The sequence below is a fragment of the Homo sapiens genome, chromosome 11, assembly GCF_000001405.40.
Source record: "Homo sapiens chromosome 11, GRCh38.p14 Primary Assembly".
In the NCBI taxonomy this organism is placed as follows: Eukaryota; Metazoa; Chordata; class Mammalia; order Primates; family Hominidae; genus Homo; species Homo sapiens.
Genome location: NC_000011.10, coordinates 120,311,640 through 120,338,400, shown reverse-complemented (window position 1 = coordinate 120,338,400; position 26,761 = coordinate 120,311,640). Strand labels below are relative to the sequence as shown.

Here is a 26,761-nt window from a genome sequence, read left to right as displayed (position 1 = left end):
TATGGTATGATAATGGAATTTGGCCCTTTTAAAATCAACAAATGAGTCTTACAATTGGGTAAAACTCTTATTAGGAAATTAAGACTACTTTGTGCAGAAGCACTATTGTTGCACTTTTCATCAAAGAGCTTTGGCCCTCTAATTCAGTTACTTGATCTATTTTTTCACGGTGTAATAATTCGAAGACTGACTTAAAAATAAAGCAAGCTGACAAATTTGGGACTAGCATGCAGTGTCATAATTAAATTGAGAATGAAATGTGGTCAAGGAATCAATATGCTTTTTATCCCTTACCCTATAAACAAGAGTAACTTAGGATAAGCAAACTGCACTTCAACCACACATGGTCTAGCTCAATTCGCCACCCACCACCATGCAACACTGGTAGGTGCTATAAAGGACAGACACAGAACTCAACAAATTCAGCTGCGCGCTTACACTATGCTTACGGCTTATATCTCTTAAACGCCAAGTGTTTCTGGAAGACGAAATATTTAAATACAAGAATTAAAAGCAAACCCCATGATTTACCCTCATTTCTTCAGCTCCTGGACATTGCTTCCAGCAAGAACCTGTGATTTACTGGTAATGTCAACATTCTGGAAAGTTATTAGATAATAATTAAACACCGTGCAGGTCAACATCTGAAAGAGATCAAGTTCCCAGATCACCATGCAGTAGGCTCAACATTAAGTTCACAGGTAGAAATTCCTAAAATGTAATTGTCTTGAGAATCTACTGCAGGACACGGCTAAAGCTGATAAATAATACACCAATACCGAGCCGACTTCAGGCACCGACCTTCACCTAAAATGACCTTCTCCTCTGATTTCCAGACGAGTACACAATCCTAATGCACACTACAGGCGGAAAACCACAATCATGGTTTTGCCTCCCCCTTCTCTGAGAATCGGAAGGGAAGTTTCTCTCCGGAAAAATTACATTTCCAAAAGCCAATCAACTGGATAACTCGGCAGCAACCCCAGGCTAACTGCACAGCTCCGAAACAACCCTCTTTCCTCTGCCTGTCAACTTCGCTGGCCAAAGGCAATCTGCAATCACCGACTCCCCTGCTAGGTCGGGCCCGATTCCGGGAGGCCGAACGAAGGAGGAATTCATACCAACCTGTCGGTGATAGTAGACTGTGTGCCACTCATTGGGGCCCTTGGCGAGAGGTCCTCCTTTTATCCAACTTGCATTTTACAGTAACACCTCCTCCCCACCCCCAGTGCTCTGGGATCAGGCCCAACTCCGTCAGGGACACAAAAGTCCAACTCAAAACTCCATTCAGTCATCTAGACCATCCGACTGTAAGGGGTCAACGGATGCGGCTTGGAGCAAAACAAGTTATCTCCCAAAACGAACTGAGAAAGCCAGGGAGCGAGTCAGTCCAGAGTGAGTCGAGCTAGAGAGAAATCCTCCAGAAGGCACAAGGATAAACTTCCTCAGAGAGGGAAATCCGCGCGCAGTGGGAAGGGGACCCGGGACTCCCGCCGGGGCTGGGGCGGGATCAGCTCACGGACGGGTGTCGGCTCCTCCTCCGGAGTCTCGGGGCCTCGAACTCCCCGCCGCGGCAAGGGCCGGGGCCCTCCCTCCCGGCTCTCTATCTGGGGCTGCCGGCTGCTCGTGGCCGCAGCGTTGGCCGCGTCTCCGGCCGTCCCGCGCCGGGCTCGCGCGATTCCATGTCCCGGGCCCGGGGCTCCTTCTGTGCTCGCCGCCCTCACCAGGCTCCCGGTGCTGGGACGAGCCGCTGGCGCCGGCGGAGAGGTCCCGCGGCCCGAGGTGACAGGGACCCGGGTCTCTCAGCGCCGCGGACTGCTCCCCATCCCTTTGAGGCCCGGACTCTTCCGCAATCGCCAGAGGCGGCGGCTCCTCCCCGACGCTCCCCGCGAGGGGCGGGAGATGCCCGTCCGGCCCGGCCTGGAAGCCCTGGTCCGGGAGGCGGAGGCGGCGGCGTCTCCCGGCGCAGGGCCGGCTCGCCGGGTTCTGGAGGCCCTCGCGGGCGCGCGCGCAGACAGCGGAGGAGGCCGGCGGCCGTGGGGGCCGCGCAACCGCGGGCGCGCGCGCGGGTTCCGGTTCCGGTTCTGGTTTCCCGGCCCTGGCCGCGTCCGGCGCGAGCTCGCGCTTCCCGTCCCCCGCCGACTTTATGGCCCCCTCCCCTCTGACTTCGGGAAGCCGCCTCACCCGGGATCCCTCCGCCGCTCAGGGCCGCGCTCTCGCCCTTGAACGGACGCCTCCGCCGGAGCCCGGTTTGGGAGAGCGGCAAAGTAGTCCTACGGGGCAGAGGGAGGTGGGACCCGTGCAGCCCCGGGAGGCCCACCCACCTCCCGCGGCGCCTGGGCCCCTGAGTGCCGAGACATGCCCCTTCGAGTCCAGTTTGTACTAAGTCGACTTTCACCAGAGACCGCCCGAGAGCGCCCCCCAGATCCCGAGGACATCGTGCCGGGAGGCTCTTTGAAAATTACCAGCCCCCCTTGTCCTGGAAACTTTTATTACTTAAGGGAATGTATTATCTCTCCTGTCTTCTGGCTGCACGCGTTCTGCCGGTTCCCGGCCGGCGCCCCTCGCTGCCTCCGCAGGCCCCGCTCACCTGGGCACCTGCCGGCTCCGGGGGGAGAGCGCTGCATGAGCCGGAGGCGCAGGGCTGCGGGAGAGCAGCTGGGGACTGCAGCCAGGGTTTCTCGGTATAAATATTACTTTTAGGCTGTTTCTGCCTTGGCAAAATGAAATGTGTTATTTGCCAAATTGATAAAGCATGGTGCTTTCCATGGCGACTTAACAAGCGTGTTGTGGAAAGAACTGGGAGAAGAAAATGAAGTATATTTATCCAGTAAATAGCATTACGGTTCTCTCTGAAGGATTCCCAAACGGTTTTTCGGTTTTTTCCCCTACTGGGTAGAGAGCTTTAGATACCCATCTAGTTTTATGATTGAATAATTCAGTATTTTGGCAATTTAGGTACCACATGTAATACAGTTCTTCAGTTCTGCCTGCAAACATCCAAAGTGGCTATTCCCTTTATCCAACTATTTTCAGACTTTTGAGCTTAAACCTATGTTGGTGACAAGGGATTTCAGCCATTTTGTGGAATCCAAGTAGCAAATCAAATCTAATAAACAGTGGATGTGGAGAGAGGAAACAATTACCTCTTAACAATGCTGTTGCAAAAAGTCATTCCGCAACAGTTCATGAAAGGATCATTATCCCCGAATAGAGGCATGAGCTCACGCTGACGTTAGTTAGAACGGGGGGGAAAAAAAGGAAAAGATAAACAGAGACCAGAGACGACTCTTTATTGCTCGATTTTTTAGGTTCAAGGCACAGCCAACTAATTTTGTAATGTTTATTTTTGGAAAGAATAGAAGCAGATTAGCCAAGGCACTTCCCTAATGATGAGACCAGGACACATTGCCACCTGCTGGTGTATTCTAGCATGACAATTCTACCCTGAAGACTCTTAAATTGAGTGTTTACATGCAACCGGAAGGAATCCCATTCATATATATATATATATATATATATATATATATATATATACACACACACACACATATACACATATACACACATATATACATATATACACATATATATACATATATATACACATATATATACACACATATATACATATATATACTGACCAAAATGCAAACCTTATCCCCAAACTTAATAAATCTTTCTTAAAAGTACTAAATATCTTATTTTCCCCTATCCTAATAATGTTACAGTGTAAGTATAAAATTAATTGAACCCAATGACTCATCAAATCATGCATTTTGGAGTTCCTCTCTTCCCTTAATACTTGAGGGAAGCCTCAATACTTAAGCTTCAGGAATAAAACAAACTGGGAAAGTTTCCTAATTCACCTTCTCTTCCTTGCATACAAAACCTCTTGGCAAGCTGCTTTCAAGATCTTTCCAAACTTAAACAGACCCACGGTTCTAGCTGTGAGCAAAGAAGGCATTTTGCTGTGGGAAAGCTTCAGAAGATGGTAAGCAAAAGATTGAATTAAGCCAGTGGTTATTCATTCCAGAACTAATTTTTTTAAATGATGAAAATCTCTATAGTCACCTACAAAGCATTAATGATTTAAAAAAAAAAAAAACTGAAAGCCTCTTTAAAGCTGCCGATAGCTCAACTGTTCTAAAGGCTGTAACTATAGGATGCCTTCAGAAAGTCAAGCCAGTCTGGGTAGAACACACTCCTCAGGGTCCGTAGTACTTTACTTAGAAAAATGACATTGATGACCCAATCCACTGGGAAAACCTTTGAGGAGGTTTTCCAATGGGGATGATTCTAAACCACATTCTCATCCTCTTGTCCATTCTTTCAACATGCTTACTAAGTATCTACTATGCATCCCAGACTGTTTTAGGCATTGGTAGTACAGTCCTCAAGACAGGGCCTCCAGCTGTCTTCAGATGATGTCTCTGATGTCAACTCACTTGACATCAACATTTTCAAGACAAGTGTCCAAACAGGTGGCAGAACAAGAAACACATTAAGGTTCTTCCTCTCTCTTTTGGCAAACTGTTTTGTGTATGTCAACTGTTACCCCCCAAAATAAAAAAAAATAGGGGGAATGATGGATAATGAACAGCAGATTAGAGATATTCACTAGTAAGTATGAATACAGGTCAACATTTCTACAGGTCAAAAGGCTTTTTTTAACTTCTTGGCAAAACCACCACATAAATATAAAGACAGACTCTGGGTTTATAAAAAGTTGTTTTACTTTTATAAAATTTAGTACAAATCTTATGGAAATATAAATCGTTCTTGAACAGTGTTCGTTATCATTACACAGTAATCCAGTGCAAATGAGTACTTCATTTTGTCCAAGTATACCACACATTAATTAGCCCTTCATTTACCTGTGGTTTCAGAACTTAGCATTGTCTTAACTGCTGAGTCATCTTCAGTTCACATTGTTCTCTCAGAAGTTTTTTCATAGTTATTAGTAACAACATCAAGAAAAGCTGAAATGAGGGATTCCCTTCCCCTTACCAATTATTCAGATTTCTCACCATTCAAAAAAACCTACATACAGTTCCATGAAAGTGTCCCCAAAACAACAAGATCTGCAGTCCCTTCACTTCTGAGGAGTAAGAGAGAAAAAGAATTGGTACCAGATTAAGCCTGTTCATTTGTCTGGTATGGAACAGGTTGCACTGTGCCAAAATTCAAGAGCCAGCTTTTTTTCTTTTTTTTAAGCTCATGTGCCAGGCCACTCTTTTCTACAAGCTTTTGCTAAAATCAGCATTCCCCAGCATCCTACTTTGACCGCAATTTTGTTGGAAAGAAGCTTACCAGCATTTTAGGGGCGCTCATCATAGAAAAAAAAAAAGTGGAGATTAAGAAAAAAAACAGGAAGTGGAGATGCTGTCAGATTATCTCAATGCCCAGCAAAACTCTTTAACCAAATGACATTCATTTTTAAAGACCCACTGTTAACATGCATTTAAAGTTACTGTTTCCCTAACAGTGATGACTTTATACCATTCCAACCACTCCCTCATACCTGGTTTCTGTGGCCAAGACCATTTTTCATTTTCAAGACCGCTCATGGCTGGGCACGGTGGCTCACACCTGTAATCCCAGCACTTTGGGAGGCCGAGGCGGGTGGGTCATGAAGTCAGGAGTTCAAGACCAGCCTGGCCAACATGGTGAAACCCCGTCTCTACTAAAAATACAAAAAGTAGCCAGGCATGGTGGCACACGCCTGTAGTCCCAGCTACTCGGGAGGCTGAGGCAGGAGAATCACTTGAACACAGAAGGCGGAGGTTGCAGTGAGTTGAGATCACACCACTGCACTCCAGCCTGGGCGACAGAGCAAGACTCTGTCTCAAACAACAACAACAACAACAACAACAACAAAAGACACCATTCATTACGTTAGATTACCAGTGGCCATGGAATGGACTGATGCTTCCTACTGACCAGCCTTGACTCCAGTAGCACCATATGCTTGCTCACCCACTGAGCTAATCAAACACCATTGACTTCAATAACATGGTAAAAATAAATAATCAATAAATACATAAATACTTCATATTTCCATAAAAGCCCTACATTAAAGACCTCCATTAATAAAATGCCACATAATGTATTTATGAAATATACTACAGGGTATTTCATTCATTCACAATAGGTTTAAACTCAGGCAAAGAAGAAACAAGTAACCTATCCAAAGTGAGTGAGTAGCTCTCCAAAGTGGCAAGTGAGTAGCAAAATTAGTTAAAAGAACCCAGGAATTCTGGATTCTTAACCCCTTGTTCTAAGCTTATATTCTTGCTTCTCTTGGAGACTGTCACACTAAGAATTATTATTTTTTTCCTTCCAAGACTGGCCTTGTTTTATTAGTTTGTTCATAGAGTGGTACCTTTTTAGTAAAAATAAGAAAAGTAGGAGGAGTACTAAAAGGGAAAGTATCTAAAATGAAAAAAAAAAATTAACCTCATCCCCCTGAGGCCAGTACACACTTTAAAGTCTTTGGCTCTAGTTTGCAATATGTACAGCAGAGCTGAAATCTAAACTGCCATCTCAAGCACAGTGGAATCCACATGATAAATCCCTATGGAATTTAGTCATAGCCTCAAATGCCTAGGAGATTAATGCACAAAAGCCCTGAGAACTGGCATAGTTTTCCTGGTAGGGCAGAACCCATATAACAGGACTCAGTAAATCTACCCACACTTCATTCATCTCAGATCCAAAGCCCTAACTCTATAGGTTTTGTGCAGAAAAGAGTTAACATAGCAGGCCTAAACTGCTATCCTTGGAGAGGCCTGATTACAGGGTTGGCCACTGGCCGGCATTTGGGAACTTAGATTTTGGAGGGGCTCCCACAATTAACTGATAAGACTGGCTTACTGTGTCTGAACTGCTTGTGCAAACAATATGGCTTATGCTGAACACCTGCTTTCCTTTTGAGAGTCTTGAATTTTGCTATCTGCCAGGGAAAGCCTGCCTAGATGACCTGTCCTCAGTAAAAACTTTGGGCACTGAGTCTGTAGTGACCTTGTCCAGTAGACAACTCATTCACATGTCGTAACAAATCACTGCTAGGGGAATTAAGTGCATCCTGTGTGATTCCATTGGGAGAGGACTCTGGAAACTTGTGCTTGCTTTACCCTAGACTTTGTCTCAGGTGCCTTTTCCTTTTACCGATTTTTCTTTGTATCTTTTCACTATAATAAATCAAAACTATAAGTAAGACTATATGCTGAGTCCACTGAGTCTTCCCAGAGAATTACAGAACCTGGCAGTGGTCTTGGGCACCTCTGGCACAGTTGGTATAGGAGGTTCAGTAAGTAGCCCTCCCCCTCACTGCCAGTTTCACTCTCACCCTCCTATGCCCCTCTGTTTAAGCGACCCAATTCCCCGATCTAATGTTCAGAATGTCAAAGGCGTGTCTCTTCCTGTAAGCCCCTCACTTTATAGTAAATGGGGTAAACTTAGATAAATTGCTATATGGAAAGCAGAAATAAGTGTTTATTGAAAGAGTTACTTCTCAAAGGAACAAGAAATAGCACTAATCTTTTTCGAGTTCCTTTCTAAACTGCCTGAACATCAAACCTCCCAGGGACAGGAGGACCCAGGGTCACCACAAATGAAAACAAATGCCAGTTGTACTCACTTCACAGTTCTCACTTATTCCCAACTACCATGGAGTATTCTCACTTTCTACAACTGTGCTACTGTAGAAGTTAGTGTTTTAATACTGGTATATGCTCGGCTTGAAGACTGACCAAATTGATCAATACATTTAGCCCTTTATTGAAACCTAAGTTTGTTATAAGTGTAATTATGTAACAGTCATATTTCCAACCTGGTTCCCATGGCTGACTTAACCCAATCCATAATCTGGAGCAAGCCTTGGCTAGTGTATTTTGAGATGTCCGTTGTGTTTCAGCTGCCGTTCCTCACTCCGCCTGCTTCTCCAAGCATGGTACTTCTTGATGCTCTTCCTCCATGCAAAGCGCCAGATGCTAAACATGAAACACCAAGACACAGCATACATCGCTACTCCCCCAGCCTTCACAAACCACTTAGGCGTGGGGGAGACCATTTCACAGAAAAGGAGGCAAGCTCCCACACCAATCCTCACTCCTGTGAACAGAGCCACAAAGAGGAAGTCCACTACATCTCCAGTGAAACTGTGATAGTGCCCTGTTTCCCGGAGAAACCAGCGCATCTGTAGCAAGGGGTTGGTAAGCTCACTTCCAAAGAGGACTGCATTGACCTCTGTGCCAGACTCCCCAAGCACAAGGGCCATGATAATGCCCAAGATACTCAATGTGTGATGAGCCAGCATCAAGGCACCCTCAGACTGAAAGTAGACGCACCAGCCCAAGTCGAAGATGAAGTAGCCCAAGGTGAGACACAGGACATGAACTTGGAGAGGTGTATTGGGTGAGCCTGAAACAAACCAAGACAGAAGCAAATTGAGTGACTGGGAATTGTGTTACCTTGCACAGGGATCCTATGTTGTTGTCTTTCAAACCTTACTAGACACTAAAGAAACAAAAACAATAGCAGGCACATGCTTTTTAATGAGGACCAAAGAAAGACTAAAATATAAAATCTAGGTCTTTATCAAACTAAACGATGTTCAGACCCCAGGAAATGCTGTTCTGATGAATCAGACTTCAATGAGTTTGCATCCTTCAATGAACACAGGCAATAATCTCAGTATCCTCTCCGCGGAACAGCATAAAATCCAATTATTTTGTTCCTTCAATTAAAATCCTAAACTTTATTTTTTTTTTTTACTCTGCTAAAGGTTTATTTCCAGACTCTTGAATCATTGTTTCCTGAATGTCAGATTTTTTTCTCAGCTTAATGGGTTACGTTATTGAACACTCAGTGGTCTTAACCCATCCTGAAAGTAGATTCTGGAGAGGGCCCCAAAAGTTAGTGTGTGCTCATGTCCAGGAACATAGGTTTTAAGGACCTGACATATTTGAAACCATTTAGAATCTTCACATAAAACACAAAGCGTAACAGTTGGTTTCATTAGTTTGACAGTTTGGGGGGAAACTCAGAAATTCAGTAAGAAAAGCTAAAGAAATATTTTAAAAATTATATTCCAGGGGAGTTAAGGGCTGCATTGTGTCCTCCCTCCCCAAATTCACGTTAAAGCCCTTAACTGGTAGTACCTCAGAATGTGAGTGTATTTGAAAATAAGGTCTTTAAAGAGGTAATCAAGTTAAAATGGGGTAATTAGAGTAATCCAATATGACTGTTATACTTAAAAGGGATTAGGACACAGATATGCATACATACACACACACACACACACACACACACACACAATATGACTGTTATCCTTAGAAGGGATAAGGACACAGATACGCATACATATACAAACACATACACACACACACACACTATGACTGTTATCCTTAGAAGGGATTAGGACACAGATATGCATACATAAACATACACAAACACACACACACACACACACACACACACTATGACTGTTATCCTTAGAAGGGATTAGGACACAGATATGCATACATATACATACACACACACACACACACACACTATGACTGTTATCCTTAGAAGGGATTAGGACACAGATATGCATACATATACAAACATACACGCGCACACACACACACACAATATGACTGTTATCCTTAGAAGGGATTAGGACACAGGTATGCATACATAAACATACACACACACACACACACACACACACACACTATGACTGTTATCCTTAGAAGGGATTAGGACACAGATATGCATACATATACAAACACACACACATACACACACACACACACAGAGGGGAGACCATGGAAGGACACAGTGGGAGAGCGGCCATGTGCAAGCCAAGGACAGAGGCCTCAGAAGAAACCAAACCTGCTAACAACTTGAACTCCGACTTCTAGCCTCTAGAATTTTAAGAAAATGAACATCTGGTTAAGCCACCCACTCTGTGGTACTGTGTTATGGCAGCCCCAACCAATTAATACAAGGGGGTAAAATTTTTGCATACTTGGCCGGGTGCGGTGGCTCACACCTGTAATCCCAGCACTTTGGGAGGCCAAGGCGGGTGGATCACGAGGTCAGGAGATCGAGACCATCCTGACTAACACAGTGAAACCCCATCTCTACTAAAAATACAAAAAAAATTAGCTGGGCATGGTGGCGGGCACCTGTAGTCCCAGCTACTCGGGAGGCTGAGGCAGGAGAATGGCGTGATCCTGGGAGGCGGAGCTTGCTGAGATTGAGCCACTGCACCCCAGCCTGGGCAACAGAGCAAGACTCCATCTCAAAAAAAAAAAAATTGCATACTTCTGAAAGTAACACTTGTACATCTAGTAACAAAAAGGATAAGGAACATCTCATCCTCTTAACATAGACATGGAAAGATGCTGTCTTTTGAATAGACAGTCAAGTAAAAGTTGCAAGTTGCCAAAAATATGTATGATACAGTTCTATTTTTGTCTTTTCGGGGGTGGTAGTGGAAGATGTTGATACTGGCTTTATAGTTTTTGTATTTCCAATTAAATTGTAACAAGCAATTTAAAATCTGTTTTAAAAGTAGAGAGTTATGAAAAGCAGAAACAACAGGTGACATAAACAATATCAGAGTTAACAATGAAGAAGAATAAGGATTCCAATACAAAATTATAATGGGAATTAGTCTTCAGTATTGTACAAATTCTGTTTAAAAGTCCCATACTTCTAAGACTACCCCCAAATCATAAATCCCTAAGGGAAAATCCCCTACCTACCTGGGTGGGTAAAAGGCCATGGGCCATCAATGAAGCCAATATAAGCGGAGAGGCCTATAGAGAGGACTCCATGGGTGAAGGTGACCAGGCGGCAGCTCCACTCATAGCTTCGGTGCTTATTCAGGTGGCAGAAAGAAATATAGAGCGAGAGCCAGCCACACAGGCTGCACAGCACCTGCAGACACAGAGCTAATGCCATCCTGTGATGAAAAGACCAAAACCAGAAAAACAAAGGATGCACCCTAAGAAAACAGCACTGGGTCATTTTGTGTATATATCCTCATTTCTATTATAGAATAGTTCAAAAATATTGCCTTATCTTATTTTCCTTATCTACACGGCCAAGAATCTTCTATTTAAGTATGGCTGTATTTATCATTCCAAGTTCCTCAGAGATAACATGTTAGCAACTGGTCAATGTTGTAAACTGGAAACCAGGAACTGCACTCCGAGCTGGTAGGCTGACATCACATTTTATGATGAGTAAATGTCAATAATAACCCTCTAGCGATGACTGACCTTGGGCAATAATACACAGAAAATAAAGCACATGTATTAAATAATGTCTTCACAGTTCAAAAACCCCAATGAAACGCACTCATGAAAAAACAGAACACTGCCACGTTGGTTTCTGCTAGAGGTCACATGACACATGGCAGTTTAATGTGGTTTTAAGCTGATACTAAATTCAGCTGAGGTTTGGATTTGGGTCACAGGTTCATCAGTCAAAAACAAAACTTGGGATAAACTTAAATACAGAACTAAACAAAGAGTCCAGACATCTTGGAGGTTGGGGGGAAATCCTGGCTTTATTCAGTTCTGAAATCCGACCCAAAGATTTGCCAAGAGTGAAGCAGAAGGATTCTAAGGTTCAAGAGGAGGGGAGTTTTTGTTGAGATCTAAAAATATCCTTAAGGCAATTATTCAGTTAAAAATGAAATGAAGCCAGAAAGCTGTACCTTGGAACTTTTACTGGTGACAAATACGTTAGGACAAGAACAACTATAACTGAGTCAATTTAGTCACACAGGACTAAAATCTAAATGAGCAAGATGTTGTTATTAGTTAGTATTCATTAGCTCCTCCATTGAAACGTACAAATAAAAAGTCAAAAACATATCAGATATCTACTTCATCTCAGCAGACATTTTCTGCATGGCTATGCTTATTGCTTAACCTTATTCTGACCAGTGAAATAGTTATCTGTGGACGTCAATACACAAGCCACTTCCCAAGAATGCTATCCAGAGAGGGCTTCATGAAGGTCAAGTTCTGTACAGCTTTCATCTGAAATCAGATTTCCATTCAAGAAAACCGTAGGTGTCCATAATAGACCTGGGTTCCAATTCTGTCTCTGTCCCTAGAGAGACTAGCCATAAGAGTGTGGGCAAATCACTTTAACCTCTAGAACCACAGTTAAAAAAAAAAAGAAGAAATTAAAGAAAAGAAAAGAAGGAAGAGGAAGGGGAGGAAGGGAAAGGAAAGAAAGAGACTAGGACTGAAGAACTCTACAGTCCGGTCCAGTTCTGACATGGAGTTCTGAGATAAACTTTGTAAAACATCAAGGCCAATTCTCAGAGTAAGGGCCAGAAATACAAAGTATCCCAGGTGAAGAGAACTGCCCTCCCTTATCTCCTTCTAAAGGCCAGGGTCACTGGCCAGTAATGCGGATCAGCTCATTTGGATATGCCTATTAGTATTTTTAGAGTCTTCTTCTCTGAATCCTAATTCCTTGGCAGAACAGAGAAAACAGTAGCCCATTTACAAACACTTAAATAAAAGAACAGACATTCGTAAATGGCAGACACAACTCTGTGACCTTGGGAACTCCCTGTGTGGGTTTCGGCTTTTTGCTCTTGGTTTTTGCCAAAGAACGGAAGGGCATTTGGAAGGCCATCGCGGCTCAGAGGTCCAAGGCTCCTCTCCTGGTTTCTCCCGTTCCAGGGCCAGACTGGCGAGGAGGAGCCTTGGAGCAGGCGTGGCTGGCGGCGAGCGCGGGCCCCGGGGCCTCGCAGGGACGGCGATCGCATCTCCGCGCGGCGGTGCCTGCGACGCTCGGCCACGCCCGGACCAAGAGCCGGAGCCAGGCACCGTTATCCCCGCATCCCGCTGGCGCCGCAGCCTGGCGCAGGAAGGCCTCGGGCGTCCGAGGCAGGAGGAGGCCCGCTCCCCTTCGGAGGCGAGCCCGGGCCCTCTGCCGCCTCCTTCCCCACCAATGGGCCGCGCGGGCCCCGTGCCCACCCCGGCCGGGCAGTTCGCGCCGAGCGGTTACCTGGCGGAGCGCACCGGGAAGCCTCGGGCGCCCGGGCGCCCGCAGCTCCCGGCCCGGATCGCGGCAACAGGAAGCGGAGGAGCCAGAGGCGGAGGACGAGGCTGTGACGGCGGCGGAGGAGGAGCCGGGGGTCTGGGGGCACCTGCTGGCTGGGAGGATGGAGCGCAGAGCCGGAGCCGGGCCACCGACGCTCCGAAAGGGCGCGGGAGGGTCCTCCTTCTCTGGCGGGGGGGTCAAGAGGGATCTAGCGGTGACGTGAGACCTGGAGGCCGCTGCTCTTGTTTAGCTGTTGTTGTTTGTTTAAATCATTATCCACTTCTCCCCTCCCCTCAATGGGACAGCTCATCCAATCAATTTATCGAGTACCTACTAAGTACTTGCACCCTTACTAGGCATTGTGGGGGATGTAAGACATCGTTCTTGCCCTCGTGCTTGAATTTAAGTCGTGAAACAGGAATTGATGAGCAGGAAAGTGCTCAGGCCTGAGAATTAGAAGTTACAGTATTCCAGTCAGCCCTGTAACCAACTTGACAGTAAAGCATAAGGCTTGAAAGTGAACCTTGCTTGGTACCTCTTTGGGCAAGTTACTTTTCTGTTGCCTCCCTTTCCTCGATCCTGAGGATGGGGATAGTAATAACACCTATCTCATATGGTTATTTTGAGAATTTTAAAATATTACATGTGTAAAGTGCTTTGAACAATGACTGGCACATGGAAGTCACTACATAAATACCAACTGTTTTATTTCACTTTGGGTAAATCCTTTTCTTCTCTGGTTCTATTTTAATACCAAGCAGAGTAAGTTTGAGCGATAAGAATGGAGGCTCGAATGGGGTAAAGACGGTGTCTGTCTTGATTGATCAGGACAGGCAATCCCGGGTGCTGAGGAACCTAGACATTCTCAAAGGAGAAGACCGTTAGCAGAGGTGTGAGTGTTTAGGCCGTGCCTGGGGAATAGTAAATATTCTAGTTTTGGTCATTTATCTTACCAACTCTTCAAAGGTAAGGATGGCACTGGTTTCATCTTTGTTTCCCTAGTACCTAGCATGAGGCAGGTACAATAAATGTTTGTATGTTGAATTAATGTGAAATGAGCCTGGGAAACTATCTTGGAAGCATATCACAGTTCCTAAAGTGTGTTGATCAACTATGCCACTTGGGAAGTGTTTTCAAATACCCTGTGCAGGCTGTACCTTGAATATTATGATTTATTAGGTCTGGTATGGGGTCCAGGGATCTGTATTTTTTAAAACCTGCCCAGGAGTCATTCAGACGATCACATTTGATAACCATTGCTGTTAGAGTCCTTAAATGCCTCTGATGCCAGCCTAAGATGCCAGGCTGAGAGAGCTTATTATGTGGAAGCTCATGATGTTATTGAACAAGGGAATCATATTATCATGCTCTCCAAGCCCTTGCTACTCAAAGTGTGGTCTATGGACCAGCAAAATCTGCATCACCTTGGAGTTCATTAGAGACTCAGAATCTCAGAACCTACCCCTGGACCTACCAAACTAGAATGTGCATTTTAACAAGTTCCCCAGTGATTCGTATACACATTTGGGTCGTAGTTCTTAATCTTGATAGCATGGTAGTATCACTTGGGAGCTATTTAAAATCCTAATACCCAGGGCACACTCCGAAAAAAGTAAATCAGAATCTCTGTGTAGATATCAATCAATTTAAAAGCTCCCTGGGTGATTCCAATGTGCAACCAAAGTTGAGAACCCCAGCTCTAGCAATACTCAATTAAAATCAGTGTAAGATGAATTGCAGAAGGCCTGTTACACATGTGTTAGGATAGACCGGATAACAGGTAATGATAGTCTGGAGAAGTAAAACATGGAAGGCTCCACTTCACTGAATGGAGAGTATGCAGAGCTCACCCTTTCCCCCATTTGTTTTGTTGCAGTATTTTTTTTCTAGTATCTGAATCTGGACTTTCTTCTTGCTGCCATCATTTCCCACAAAAGTAGGGTACTAAAGCCTTCAGGAGCCTAAAGGCTGAGGGGGTAAGGTAAAAGGGAAGGAGCCAGTTCTTCCTAAAATATTGGGCCTTTATCCTAGGGTGACTGGGATTCTAGGTTCAAGCTTCATGACCTAGGATTAAATTTTGTTGATGTATGTATCTTTGGCCACAATCCCTGTTCCACCAAATCAGATCCTTGTCACCGGTAGCATCCCCCAGAAATTCTGGGCTGTTAAGGAGAGCAGGGGACAGGAAGCTCTCCACCAATTTAATAGCAATGAGAATAATAATCACAATAATAACAAATAACACCTATACTGCCCTTATTAATGTACCAGGCATTGTTCCAAGCACTACATATATATATATATACACACACACACACACATATATATACACATATACATATATATGTATACACACACACACATATATATGCATACACATACACACACATATATATATACACACACTCAATCCTCACAAACAATTCTATGGGATGGGACCTATTGTTATCTCCATTTTACAGGTGAGAAACTGAGTCATGGAGCAGTCAAGGCTTTCCCAAGATGACACGGTTAGTAGGAGGCAGAGTAGGGTACAAACCCAGGCAATATGACTCTGGAGATCACGCCTGTATGGCAGATGCACCTGACAGCGGTAACTTAAGTATAACCTGAGAATGACCCTGTGTGGCAGACACACCTGAATGTGTGTCTAGTGTTCCAAGCGTGGCCAACCCAGAGATTATTCCTTATGTATGAGGAACATCTGAGCCCCTGGCCCAGCCCTTGGAACATGGGCCATACAGGGGGCTGAGGCCCTTTGTTTTGGGGTAAATGAAGGTTGCCAGGTGGAGGTTGTTAGCGGGAGGGTGTTAGATGAGAGTGCCATGTAAACTGCGTGCTTTCTGCAGGCAGTGGTGGTTCTCCTGTCCAGCCTGTTGCCACCGGATCCCTCTTATGTAAGTTCCCCTCAACAAACCCTATGTCGCATTTGTTGGCTCTTGGTCTCTGGCCTCTTGAATCTGGTGCTATCCCTCCTGAAGTCAATAGGGGTCTGGCATGACAATGCCCTTAACCACTGTGATATGCTGCCTCCACTTACCTAAAAATTCCTGCAGGTTTGCACTGTATTCTGCTGTATTCACAACTCCTATCTCAGTGAAGGGCATTAAAAATTTAGAGGGAAAAAAAGGGAATTTTATATTTAAAAAACATAACTGCCTGTTATGTGCTAGTCACAATGTTAGCCACAGGGATACAGAAAAAAAAAAAAAAAGCCTCAACTGCAAGGAGTTCCCCCCACAGAAGGAAGAGGCAGAAGAGTCAGCAGGTGAGCTATGGTGGGGCCACACAGAGCACAAGAGGAACCCTGGCAACCTGGGAGCTCCGGCCAGGGTTCCTGCTTTGAGTCCTAGGGTTAATAAACTCAGTCTCTGAGTCAGACCAAAAGTTCTTACTTTGTCTTAGGAGGGCAGAGCTGGGCCCACCCGTTTTGAGTCAACTAAACATCAGAGTATGAAATACAGTTCGGTTGGGCGCGGTGGCTCACGCCTGTAATCCCAGCACTTTCGGAGGCCAAGGCAGGCGGATCACGCGGTCAGGAGATCGAGACCATCCTGGCTAACATGGTGAAATCCCGTCTCTACTGAAAAATAGAAAAAATTAGCTGGGCGTGGTGGCGGGCGCCTGTAGTCCCAGCTACTCAGGAGGCTGAGGCAGGAGAATGGCGTGAATCTGGGGGGCGGAGATTGCAGTGAGCCGAGATCGTGCCACTGCACTCCAGCCTGGGTGACAGAGTGAGACACCATGTCAAAAAAAAAAAAAATACAATTTGAAATGTAGCAACAACAATCTTTTTTTTTTCCTCCCTTGGCAATGACTGGTGGTTGCCCTCAGATTCTCTTGTCCCTAGTTAGATGCTGAGGCGGCGAATCAAGCTTCAGTTAAACTTCCCTGGAATTACAGATTTTACAGAATCATGCAGACATGAAAGGTGACCTTGCTCACTTTCAGGCTTGATTCTGTTCAGCAATGTCCAAGTTAGTTGGCAAGGAAAGCTACTGGAGTCTGAACAGGCTACAATTCTGTTTATTTCTTTCATAAAAAATCACGGGCAAATGGATGAAAATCCAAGTTTTGGACAATGCAGAGGATCAGCTTTCAGCACTCACCTGAGTAGGATGTCAAGGTAGCCAGGACTTCTGTAGAAAAGGGTCAGCTCTAGCATCCATGGGCATACAGGGAGGAATGCATGCATGCATGTGTATGTGTGCAGAGATATGCACAGATGGGCTCATGGGTGGTGGAGCAGTCCCCTTAGTTACTTAAAGTACTGCGGAAGGCTCCTCTTGCTGTCTCTTTGCTACATACCTGGCCCCTTTTAACTAGATATTTTCTTGAGAAAGTAAACATTACCATTAGGCCTTCTCCCACTTCATGACGTGAAATAGGAATTTTTAAAGCCCCATTCAAACATCAGGGAGCGGTTAACTCTTCATTATTAATATTTAGGTTTCCTGTGTGGATATTATTATTTGCAAGAAGTGTTTAATCCTAATTTTAGTTTTTCCCCATCAGCCATTACATTTTTGAAGGGCCTCTCTTTCCCACAGGTCAGCGTTTATCTCAGTAATGGTAACTATTTATTACTTATTTTATTTTTTGAGACGGAGTCTCGCTCTGTCGCCCAGGCCGGAGTGCAGTGGCACAATCTTGGCTCACTGCAGGCTCCAACGGTAACTATTTAAATTTGTATTAATCTAAGAAAAAACACAAGAATAGGTTTGCTGCCTTTCAACCTCCTAACCAAAAGTCACAATGCATTCTGAAGCCATATATATATATATATATATATATATATATATATATATATACATGAGACAAATATGTATATTTGAGACAGGGTCTCACTCTGTTGTTCAGGCTGGAGTGCAGCGGCATGATCATTGCTCACTGCAGCCTTGACTTCCTGGGCTTAATAGATCCTCCCATCTCAGGCTCTTCAGTAGCTGGGACTACAGGCATACACCACCAAGCCCAGCTAATATGTGATTATTAAATTACCCTCTGCCTTAACTATTTATTGCTTTATGTTGTGAGTAATGAACAACTGCCGTTCAGGGTATCTGAGACATGAGACATTAGCCTCAGTCCCCACCTCTTAAGTTTCAAATGACTTCACCTTAAACATTCACCATCCTCCCACTTACAATATCTCTGGCCTACTCTGCCCTCAAGGTAGTTATGTTACAGAGAGTAACAACTCTGAATTCTTCAGGGCCCTGTAATAACATATGTCATCTTTAGCATCAGTTTGGGGAGTAATACACTTAATGTCCCAATTTGAAACATTTTCTGTCATCCCATTTCATTATATGCACTCACATGCCCCCCACAACAACAAAAAGGCACAGAACAAGAATCTAAACCTCTTCTTATCAACAGTGGGATACTTTTCATAATCACTATACACATTTATTTAGGAACAGTGAGATTCCTTTGAATCTCAACAGTTTCCTAGACATGTAGTCTTTTTTTTTTTAAGTTACCATTTCTGGAATGGCTTCATGTTACATCTCTACAAACTGGCCCACAAAAAAGCAGACTCTAGAGATAATGTTCCCAAAGAAGTCAACAAAGATTCCCAGCCCAGGCCAGGCGCGGTGGCTCACACCTGTAATCCCAGCACTTCGGGACGCTGAGGTGGGTGGATCAGGAGGTCAGGAGTTCAAGACCAGCCTGACCAACATGGTGAAACCCCATCTCTACTAAAAATACAAAAATTAGCTGGGCTAATTTTTGGTGGTGGGCGCCTGTAATCCCGCTACTTGAGAGGCTGAGGCAGGAGAATCGCTTGAACCCAAGTGGCAGAGCATGCAGTGAGCCAAGATCATGCCACTGCACTCCAGCCTGGGCTGGAGCAAGACTGTCTCAAAAAAAAAAAAAAAAAAGAAAAAGAAAAAAAAATCCCAGCCCATGTGGGAACTCTGGAAGGTAGCACAGTATTTCACACTTTGGTATTTCCCCCCCTTTTTTTTAAAGAAGATAAAATATTACAGAGACATTTTCAAAAATCACACCTGAGTTAAACATTTTGCTGGAAAATTCCACATTAAGGAGTTAAGAACATAATGCAAAAAATGGGAAAGGGCTATATACAGGTACTTTGCCACCATCATTGTTGTGTGTTTGCTCTTGTGTTCTTCCTTTTCTGCTGCCAGGAGAAAGGAGAGGGGACAGGATAAAGAGAAACACAGGGAGGAAGGGAAAGAACAAGCACTCCTGAGCCCTAGGCAGACGTGGACAGACAGAAGGGCACCAGCAGGCGTTGCAACATGCCCAGGGCACCCACCAAGGGCAGCTCTTTTACACCTTCTGCAAAAAGGAGGGGACCTGGAGGGCGCAATAATGAATGGATTTGATTGTAGAAAAGGGGGCGAGGTTAAAAAGAAAATGGGGTGAGATGAAGATTCCATCAGAAAACTTAGCTGTACAGAGAAAACATCAAGGCTTTGGTGGAGATATCAGATTCAAATCTTTTCACAGATTTTGGGATCAGTTCAGGGGTTGTGGCCAAGTTCAGAGTCAAAACTATTATCTCCCCTTCTGGTGTTTGGCACCCCAGCCAAATGGCTGTCCCCAGAAGCCCACGGATGAGTTGGAGAATAACAGCAAGAAGTCTTTTCTCTGAAAGACTATTGCCACAGTGAAGCTGGCTAAAATATTTGGAACTAGAAGGCAAGGGCATAGGCAAGGAAGGTGAAAATGGTAAGCTCCTAGGAGGGGCTGTGTATTTCAAGAGCATTAGGAGTCTGCACTTGGTTCAATCACAGTTTGGATCTCCGGAGGCCCTTGCTCTTGAAGAAGACAAGAGTCTGGGTTCATTGATAGTGGAGATTTTCTTCCACTCTTCTGAAGGCAATCTGTCTGTATATAGAAGGCATGATTCCCTTCCTTCCAGGGGGAATACAGGGCCAGCTGGAGTAGGAGAAACTTTTTGGTCTCAGTGGAGGTAGGTGGAATGATTCCATCGGTACCAAGATCTGGAAGGAAGAAAGAAGTCAATCCTAAAGCTAATAATGTGATGGCGTAAGATGGGAATGGGGAGTGACTGCTAGCAGGTACAGGGGCTTTTGCAGGTAGGAGTAATAAAAACATCCTGGAATTAGATAACGCTGATGGTTGCACAACCTTGTGAATATACTAAAAACCACTGAACTGCACACTTTAAAACGGTGAATTTTATGGTATATGAATTATACCTCGAAACAATTTTTTAAAGCTGGTAATGTATATTATATGGTCCTCTTTCTCTCTCTCAGTAGGGGTAGGTGAGGAGCGCCAACGTTTCGGGCTATGCAACAATTGGCCAATAAGAACTGGCTGCCTTGCTGAACCGCCTGGATTTGGACAGCTGGGTTCATCTTTTCTGACGAACTCAGGTCTGTAACCTACACATCTCTGTGTTGTTCTGAATCAGGGCAGAATCTCTCTTTCACAAGGCATCAGCTCTGAGAATACTTTTTAGAGTAGATTCTTTGCTTCATGAACTGAAGCCCAGGAGGCTGCCTGCCCCACTGCATCCCAGCTGGGAGTGGGAGACAGGAATTGGCACCACTTCCCCCTTTCCCTGTGTCAGCCATGTTTGAAGCCCAGGGTTTTCTTTGTGCCTAAGCTCTGGGCTCACATCAGAACCTCCTGAGAACTGGGTTCCCATGAAGCCCAGCAAAGGACCTGGCTCTTTCTGACATGAGTGTTTGGAAATTTCCACCCTCAAAGTAAGGATGGAAATTTTGACTTTGTTGACATCAGCTCCTTGCCAGGATGGCTCACTGACTGAAGCTTCTTTTTAAAATCTCCACTCCCTAGGGATAAAGTCCAGTCTGGCTGTCACTCTGTCCTCTCTGTGCCACCCCATTCCTCTTTTCCAACCCTTTCTATGACAAGCTTTCTTTCCCAAGGCATAGGCTCAGCTTCTCACATGTCCCTTGGCCCTGCTGGGATGTCTCTGCACCGTCCCCTTCACCTTACCCTGAAGAGTTAAAACTGGAGGCGGAGTTCACTGCTGCTTTGGAGTTATTTTGAGATGCAGTGGGGCTGCTGGCGTGGAGTCCTGAGCCAGGAGATGAAGGCCTGCTGTTGTTCCCAGGGGAACAGGATGACGTTACTGAGGATAAGGAGAGGCAAAAACAAGGGGGAAATAATGCTGCTGGATCCCGGGACATCGGGACATAGCCCCTCAGACACAAATTTCCTGGTGTATCCCCAAAGGGACCTCACCCTCTCCCTAGCCACACCCACCTGACTACCTCCTGCCTCATTAGCATCAACTTCTGCCCACACCCAGAGGGGCTGTCGTCACAAATGCTCTCTGCAGCCCAGGCCCTGGAGAGTGGTGTGGCTGGTTCTGCAAGTCTAAGACTTGCCAAATCCAAGGACAGATGCCAAAATCATCCTACTCTAGGACACACCCTAGGCTGGGCACATGCAGCCCCAGACCAAGAGGCGGTAGGAGAAAAAGAACAAGAAGGAAGAGAGGAGGAAAGAAAGGCAAGTGCATAGGGGAGAAAGAGAACTTGAGGGCACGATGAAAGATTGCCAGCTGCTCTAGTTCTCCAGTCTCCACAAAGAAAAGGTGCTTGGTTTTCTAGAAACTAGAGTAATGAACTGAACTGGGCATGGTGGCTCATGCCTGTAGCCCAACACTTTTGGGAGGCTGAGGCAGGAGGGCCGATTAAGCCCAGGAATTCAAGATCAACCTGGGCAACATGGCGAAACCCAGTCTCTGCAAAAAATACAAAAATTAGCCAGGTGTGATGACATGCACCTGTAGTCTCAGCTACTCAGGAGGCTGAGGTGGGAGGATCACTTGAGCCTGGGAGGTCGAGGCTGCAGTTAGCCATGATTGTGTCACCACATTGCCTGGGCAACAGAGCAAGACGCTGTCTCAAAAAACAAAACAAAACAAAAACAAAAAGAACAATGAACTGGGAGTGAGGGGACCTGAGCCCTGTCTTGGTCCCCAGCCATCAACTCAGCAGCTCTGTGGCCTGTGCTGATTTGTTTCACTTTCCTGAAACTTATTTTCATCCTCTGTGAAATGGCAGATTTGTATTTGGATTAACTCTTGTGTTTGTGTTTCCCAAACTGTGTTCTATGGATAGGGTGACATATATTTTACCATCCAAACTAAGACCCTAAGACACTTTGAAAAGTGGAAGGGGCTGAGTGCGGTGGCTCACGCCTGTAATCCCAGCACTTTGGGAGGCCGAGGCGGGCAGATCACTTGAGGTCAGGAGTTCAAGACCAGCCTGACCAACATGGAGAAACCCTGTCTCTACTAAAAATACAAAAAATCAGCCGAGCGTGGTGGCACACGCCTGTAATCCCAGTTACTCGGGAGGCTGTGGCAGAAGAATTGCTTGAACCTGGGAGGCAGAGGGTGTGGTGAGCTGAGATCGTGCCATTGCACTGCAGCCTGGGCAACAAGGGTGAAACTCTGTCTCAAAAAAAAAAAAAAAAAAAAAAAAGTGGAAGGAAGTGCTATTGATAATTATGTCAGGACATGAAGCAGACACTGGGACTGTCCTGGCCACCCTTGGGCATGCGATCATCCTGTCTAGTGCGTTGAAATAATTAGGTGCTTTTTGAGGACTAGAGTATTACTTTGGGAAGCCTTGCCTCCCCTGGGCCTTCCACACAGTTCATTTTGGAATTTTATGCACCTAAGTGCTTAGAAGTGCTGCAGTTAAAGCAAAACAAAACAAAACAATTCGCTTGTTTAAACTGGGCTTCCTCAGCATTTTCCAGACTTATTTGATCACAGAACCCTTTTTTCCCAACACAGATTTTAATATCCTTTGAAATGCATTTAGGGAAGCCTGACTTAGGTAGATACCTTTCAGTTCTAATATCCCATTTTTTAAAAGAATTCTGGTGTTCTTCAGAAATCTCATTTTAAAGCTCACCTGTTCCAGGCATGGTACTGTGGACAGGAGGGACAGAGAGGGGGCCCAGAGACCCTGAGGGAGATACCTGAAAAACAACAGAAGCTTGTAAATGTCCATTTCTGCTCCCTTCTCCAACTTCAGATCACTCTCCAAAGACAGTAGGCCCCAGACTCTACAGAGACCAGGGCTTGGCTTCCTTGGTGATTTCCTAGCCTACATGCCATCCTCCTTTCTATGGGAAGGCCTCTGGACCACATACTGGCATCCAGAACCAGGTCCAGTCTGCCCCGGAAGTTCCCTGGTGTCAACACCAGGGCCCTCCAGCCCCTGACAATGTGTATTGCCTGATAAGGTTTCTTTGACACTGCCAAGCCGAAGGCTGCCTTGCCTGAGAGCCCTGGAGGTGAGCAAGACAAGCCTCTTGGGCCCTGCTGTGGCAGATACTGCTGGTTGCCTGTCATTTTCTGGTCTCCATTGCTTTTTCCCTAAAAGAACCCTGCTTTTGCTGAGGACAGCAGGGTTGCTCAGCCTAGCAGCCTCTCGCAGGCTTTCCCACTGTGATGGATGAATGGAGCATGGACTCTCCAGAGGTGACTGGAGGCACTGAACTTTGGTCTCTGAAGCTTTTTATTTTGCCCTGGAGACCTCATAGCATCATCAGCTCTGAGATTAGAAAGGGACCTGGGATAACTTTGTTTACCCTCCCATGCAATTCAGGAACCTCCCCCTCACTGTTACTATCCTAGAACAATGTAGAACAAGATGTAATAGAAAGAATAGACTTTGGAGCCCAACAGGTCTGGGAGTAAGACAGCTCCACCACTATCTGTGTGACTTTGGGCAAGTTATCTAACCCTACTGAGATTTGGTTTTCTCATCTGTAAAATAGCAGCAATACTTCCATTATATATTTTAATTAAGTCATAATGAGATAATGTCTGTAAAGCTTCCAACCCAACAGCTGGCAAAGAGTGTCAGCTTGTTAAATGCTAGTTCTCTCCCTTTCTGGAAGAAGCAGCTGTCAACTGCTGTATATTTCTAGATGTTATTCGACTCTTCTTTTGAGCTAAAATCTGTGTATTTTCACTGCCCCTTATTCTTCTCATGCTAACAGGGGAAGCTCTGACCAGGTGTTCGCAAAGGCTATTGAAAGGTAGTTCTGCTCTCCCCAGTTTGGAAGATCCCACCCTAACAGGATGCAGCATGTACTTATTTCGTCATTAATCAGAAATGGTTTTCCTGTTTTCATTTACTTTTCCTTATACAATGAGCCTCCTCAGTAGGCTGGGGGCCTGTGAAGGGTGGAGACGGGCACAGGTTGGGAGGGGTGGCAGAGTGGTAAGAGATGTTATCAATAATCTCCCTACCTCTTCTCCTCCCTCCCTGCTGTCACACCCAAGACATGTGTTGTTGTTGTTGTTGTTGTTGGTTTGAGATGGAGTCTCGCTCTGTCACCCAGGCTGGAGTGCAATGGCACGATCACGGTTCACTGCAACCTCTGCCTCCTGGGTTCAAGCGATTCTTTTGTCTCAATCTCCCGAGTAGCTGGGATTACAGGCACCTGCCACCATGCCCAGCTAATTTTTGTATTTTTAGTAGAGACAGGGTTTTGCCACGTCGGCCAGGCTGGTCTCGAACTCCTAACCTCAGGTGATCCACCCATCTTGGCCTCCCAAATTGCTGGGATTACAGGCGTGAGCCACCATGCCTGGCTTTGTTGTTGTTTTTAAATAAGTGATAATGTATTTGGTCAGTGCGGCCAGCTTGTTTCCTTCTGGAGACAGGCTAGGCATATGCGAACAGACATATACGTGGTTCCCCTTTTTTATTTTCTAGATATATTGTAGCATTCTGCCCACACTGATCTGCACCATTTTGCCTTTCTACCTGCTAATCATTTTATTCCAGAAGCAGAAGAAACTATGTCCTAGTCCCAAGGGACTGTCTCAATGAGACCCAAAGATAGGATCAGAAAATTTTCTCCCTCCTTTTCCTTCATGACATCACAAGTGTTAGTGTAACTATTTATTTCATGTCCTTCACAGCCATTAGGCTGTAGACTTCATGAGGGCAGGGTAACGCCTGTGTGGTTCACTGGTGCACCCCCAGTGCTTTCTACGGTGCCTGGAACGTTGCAGGTGCTCAGTAAATATGTGTCGAATGAAAGCTGATGGGGAATGGGGCCCCTGCATGGCTCCTCTAGGCCCCCTCCATTTCTCACCATGTTGATGTCCTGGGTTGGCACTGAACCAAAGGGAGAATCTACTACTTCCCATCTGCTCTAAACAAAGCCCAATCTTTAAAGATTCCAAAGTTCCTATGACATGACCCAAGTTTCTTAACAAGGCCTATGATTCCCAACATAATCCAGCCCCTGCCTACCATTCCAGCCTCCTCATTCACACCCTCACTCCCTGGTTTGCAGCCCGTTCTGGCCTTCTGTGCTTCTTTCCTCCTACCCCACCCCACCATCAACCTTGGAACCTTTGTACATGCTATTTCCTCTACCTAGAATATTCTTCCCTGCCCTCACACCTCTCTGCACCCCCCAACTCAAACACTTTCCCTGTTAATAGCAATGGTGACATTCATTCTTCTGGTGTCAGTTTAAACATCATTCCTCAGAGAAGCTCCTGATACCCTGGACTAGGTTAGGCACCTCAAATATCGTACCTCTTCTCTGAAGCCTTCATCACAAATAGCATTTGTTTAGTATCTGTTTTCCTGCTACACTGTAAGCAGGGGTCACGTGTGCGGTTCACCACTGGAGCCCCAGTACCAAACATATAGCAGGTGCTCAGTGAATGCTTAAGGAAGAAATAATGAATGAATATCATGTTGCCTCCAACTTAACATGTTCAATGATCCCTTAGAGAGTTTAGGGTACTTCAGCATCCATGGCCCATTATGATCCCACACTCATCAGCCCCTCTAATTTTAATCCTGAACCCTTTGCTCCAGCCAGACTGAAATGCTTGTGATTTCCCAAATGCATCATGTGGTTTTATAATTCCATGCCTTTGGGCTGGGTGCGGTGGCTCATGCCTGTAATCCTAGCACTTTGGGAAGCCAAGGTGGGCAGATCACCTGAAGTCAGGAGTTCAAGACCAGCCTGGCCAACATGGTGAAACCCCGTCTCTACTAAACATACAAAATTAGCCAGGTGTGATGGTGGGTGCCTGTAATCCCAGCTACTCAGGAGGCTGAGGCAGGAGAATTACTTGAACCCAGGAGGTGGAGGTTGCAGTGAGCCTAGATCGCACCATTGCACTCCAGCCTGGGCAAAAAGAGCAAAACTCTGTCTCAAAAAAAATAAAAATAAATAAAAAATTTAAAAAATTCCATGCCTTCTCACAGGCTGTTCCTTCTGCCTTGTACACTACTCTTGCTAATTACTAATCTGTTCTCCAAACAAATTAGATATTCACCCTCCTGGGACCCATTCTGATTTGGGTGTCTTTCCTCTTGGTTCCCATGGCACTCCTATGGGGCTCATTCCTGCCCAACACTCCGCACATCTACGTGGTTGTAGTTTCTTGTCTTTTCTGGTCCCTCCTTCTCAGTTTCTTTCCTGATACTCTTCCTTTGCCCATCTTGCAAAAGCTGGTGGCATGGCCTTTGCTCTTTGCTTCCTCTACATAAACTCCATAGGCGAGTTCCTCCTCACCCAGGATTTCACCCACCACCTGCACACTTGTGACTCCCTAGTCCATGTCTCCATCCCAGCCTTCCAGTCTCACCTCCAGACCCATAATCTCAAGTGCCCAAGGACATTCCCACATGGGTATCCTGCAGGCCTCACTGTA

At 45.4% G+C, this 26,761-nt stretch overlaps 3 protein-coding genes across 31 annotated transcripts in view, besides 8 other annotated features; all 3 read right to left on the bottom strand.

Annotated features, from left to right (window-relative positions):
- ARHGEF12 (Rho guanine nucleotide exchange factor 12) overlaps positions 1–1,988 on the bottom strand; it is a 153,525-nt gene extending 151,537 nt beyond the window's left edge. For 9 of the 15 annotated variants that reach the window (NM_015313.3, XM_006718805.4, XM_047426659.1 and 6 more), the window contains exon 1: positions 1,126–1,988. In NM_015313.3, coding sequence (NP_056128.1) covers positions 1,126–1,157 — 32 coding nt within the window. In that variant the 5' untranslated portion in view covers positions 1,158–1,988. Of the gene's footprint in view, positions 1–531 lie in introns of all 15 variants that reach the window. The other 6 variants (XM_011542720.3, XM_047426666.1, XM_047426663.1 and 3 more) reach the window with 2 other exon arrangements.
- Positions 1,532–2,401: a silencer, noted in NCBI's record as "silent region_3991". NCBI's record gives its function as "represses an Ori minimal core promoter by ATAC-STARR-seq in GM12878 lymphoblastoid cells {active_cell/tissue: GM12878}" and the evidence as "EXISTENCE:reporter gene assay evidence [ECO:0000049][PMID:35858748]".
- On the bottom strand, positions 4,715–13,102 carry TLCD5 (TLC domain containing 5). Of its 7 annotated transcripts, none has more exons than NM_174926.3 (4): positions 13,033–13,102; positions 10,761–11,279; positions 8,352–8,424; positions 4,715–7,994 (listed from the first exon to the last, which is right to left on the bottom strand). In NM_174926.3, the coding sequence occupies exons 2-4, from the start codon at positions 11,023–11,025 to the stop codon at positions 7,886–7,888; spliced, it is 447 nt and encodes a 148-aa protein (NP_777586.1). In that variant the 5' UTR covers positions 11,026–11,279; positions 13,033–13,102; the 3' UTR covers positions 4,715–7,885. The 7 variants fall into 7 exon arrangements, with proteins under 7 accessions (NP_777586.1, NP_001185603.1, NP_001185599.1 ...); NM_001198674.2 differs by having other exon boundaries at positions 10,761–10,960; NM_001198670.2 differs by having other exon boundaries at positions 4,715–8,424.
- Positions 12,738–12,797: a silencer, noted in NCBI's record as "silent region_3990". NCBI's record gives its function as "represses an Ori minimal core promoter by ATAC-STARR-seq in GM12878 lymphoblastoid cells {active_cell/tissue: GM12878}" and the evidence as "EXISTENCE:reporter gene assay evidence [ECO:0000049][PMID:35858748]".
- Positions 12,868–13,157: a silencer, noted in NCBI's record as "silent region_3989". NCBI's record gives its function as "represses an Ori minimal core promoter by ATAC-STARR-seq in GM12878 lymphoblastoid cells {active_cell/tissue: GM12878}" and the evidence as "EXISTENCE:reporter gene assay evidence [ECO:0000049][PMID:35858748]".
- Positions 13,349–13,493: an enhancer, noted in NCBI's record as "145 bp 11:120195689 sequence used in MPRA reporter constructs". NCBI's record gives its function as "activates a minimal TATA-containing promoter with rs61898347 allelic activity by MPRAs in C283T melanocytes {active_cell/tissue: C283T}" and the evidence as "EXISTENCE:reporter gene assay evidence [ECO:0000049][PMID:36423637]".
- Position 13,421: a transcriptional cis regulatory region, noted in NCBI's record as "rs61898347 or 11:120195689 MPRA-significant variant associated with a GWAS melanoma risk locus at 11q23.3". NCBI's record gives its function as "allelic transcriptional activity by MPRAs in C283T melanocytes {active_cell/tissue: C283T}" and the evidence as "EXISTENCE:reporter gene assay evidence [ECO:0000049][PMID:36423637]".
- Positions 15,530–15,689: a silencer, noted in NCBI's record as "fragment chr11:120193421-120193580 (GRCh37/hg19 assembly coordinates)". NCBI's record gives its function as "represses an EF-1alpha promoter that drives an FKBP-Casp9 reporter gene in an ReSE screen in HepG2 liver carcinoma cells {active_cell/tissue: HepG2}" and the evidence as "EXISTENCE:reporter gene assay evidence [ECO:0000049][PMID:32094911]".
- The window catches only part of POU2F3 (POU class 2 homeobox 3), an 83,308-nt gene continuing 75,002 nt past the window's right edge, over positions 18,456–26,761 (bottom strand). For 8 of the 9 annotated variants that reach the window (NM_001244682.2, XM_011542739.3, XM_011542742.4 and 5 more), the window contains 3 exons: positions 22,974–23,040; positions 21,037–21,172; positions 18,456–20,048 (listed from right to left, as the gene is read on the bottom strand). In NM_001244682.2, the coding sequence (NP_001231611.1) occupies positions 20,009–20,048; positions 21,037–21,172; positions 22,974–23,040 (243 nt within the window). In that variant the 3' untranslated portion in view covers positions 18,456–20,008. Of the gene's footprint in view, positions 20,049–21,036; positions 21,173–22,973; positions 23,041–26,761 lie in introns of those variants that run through there. The other variant, XM_017017487.2, reaches the window with a different exon arrangement.
- Positions 24,446–24,590: an enhancer, noted in NCBI's record as "145 bp 11:120184592 sequence used in MPRA reporter constructs". NCBI's record gives its function as "activates a minimal TATA-containing promoter with rs4938795 allelic activity by MPRAs in UACC903 melanoma cells {active_cell/tissue: UACC903}" and the evidence as "EXISTENCE:reporter gene assay evidence [ECO:0000049][PMID:36423637]".
- Position 24,518: a transcriptional cis regulatory region, noted in NCBI's record as "rs4938795 or 11:120184592 MPRA-significant variant associated with a GWAS melanoma risk locus at 11q23.3". NCBI's record gives its function as "allelic transcriptional activity by MPRAs in UACC903 melanoma cells {active_cell/tissue: UACC903}" and the evidence as "EXISTENCE:reporter gene assay evidence [ECO:0000049][PMID:36423637]".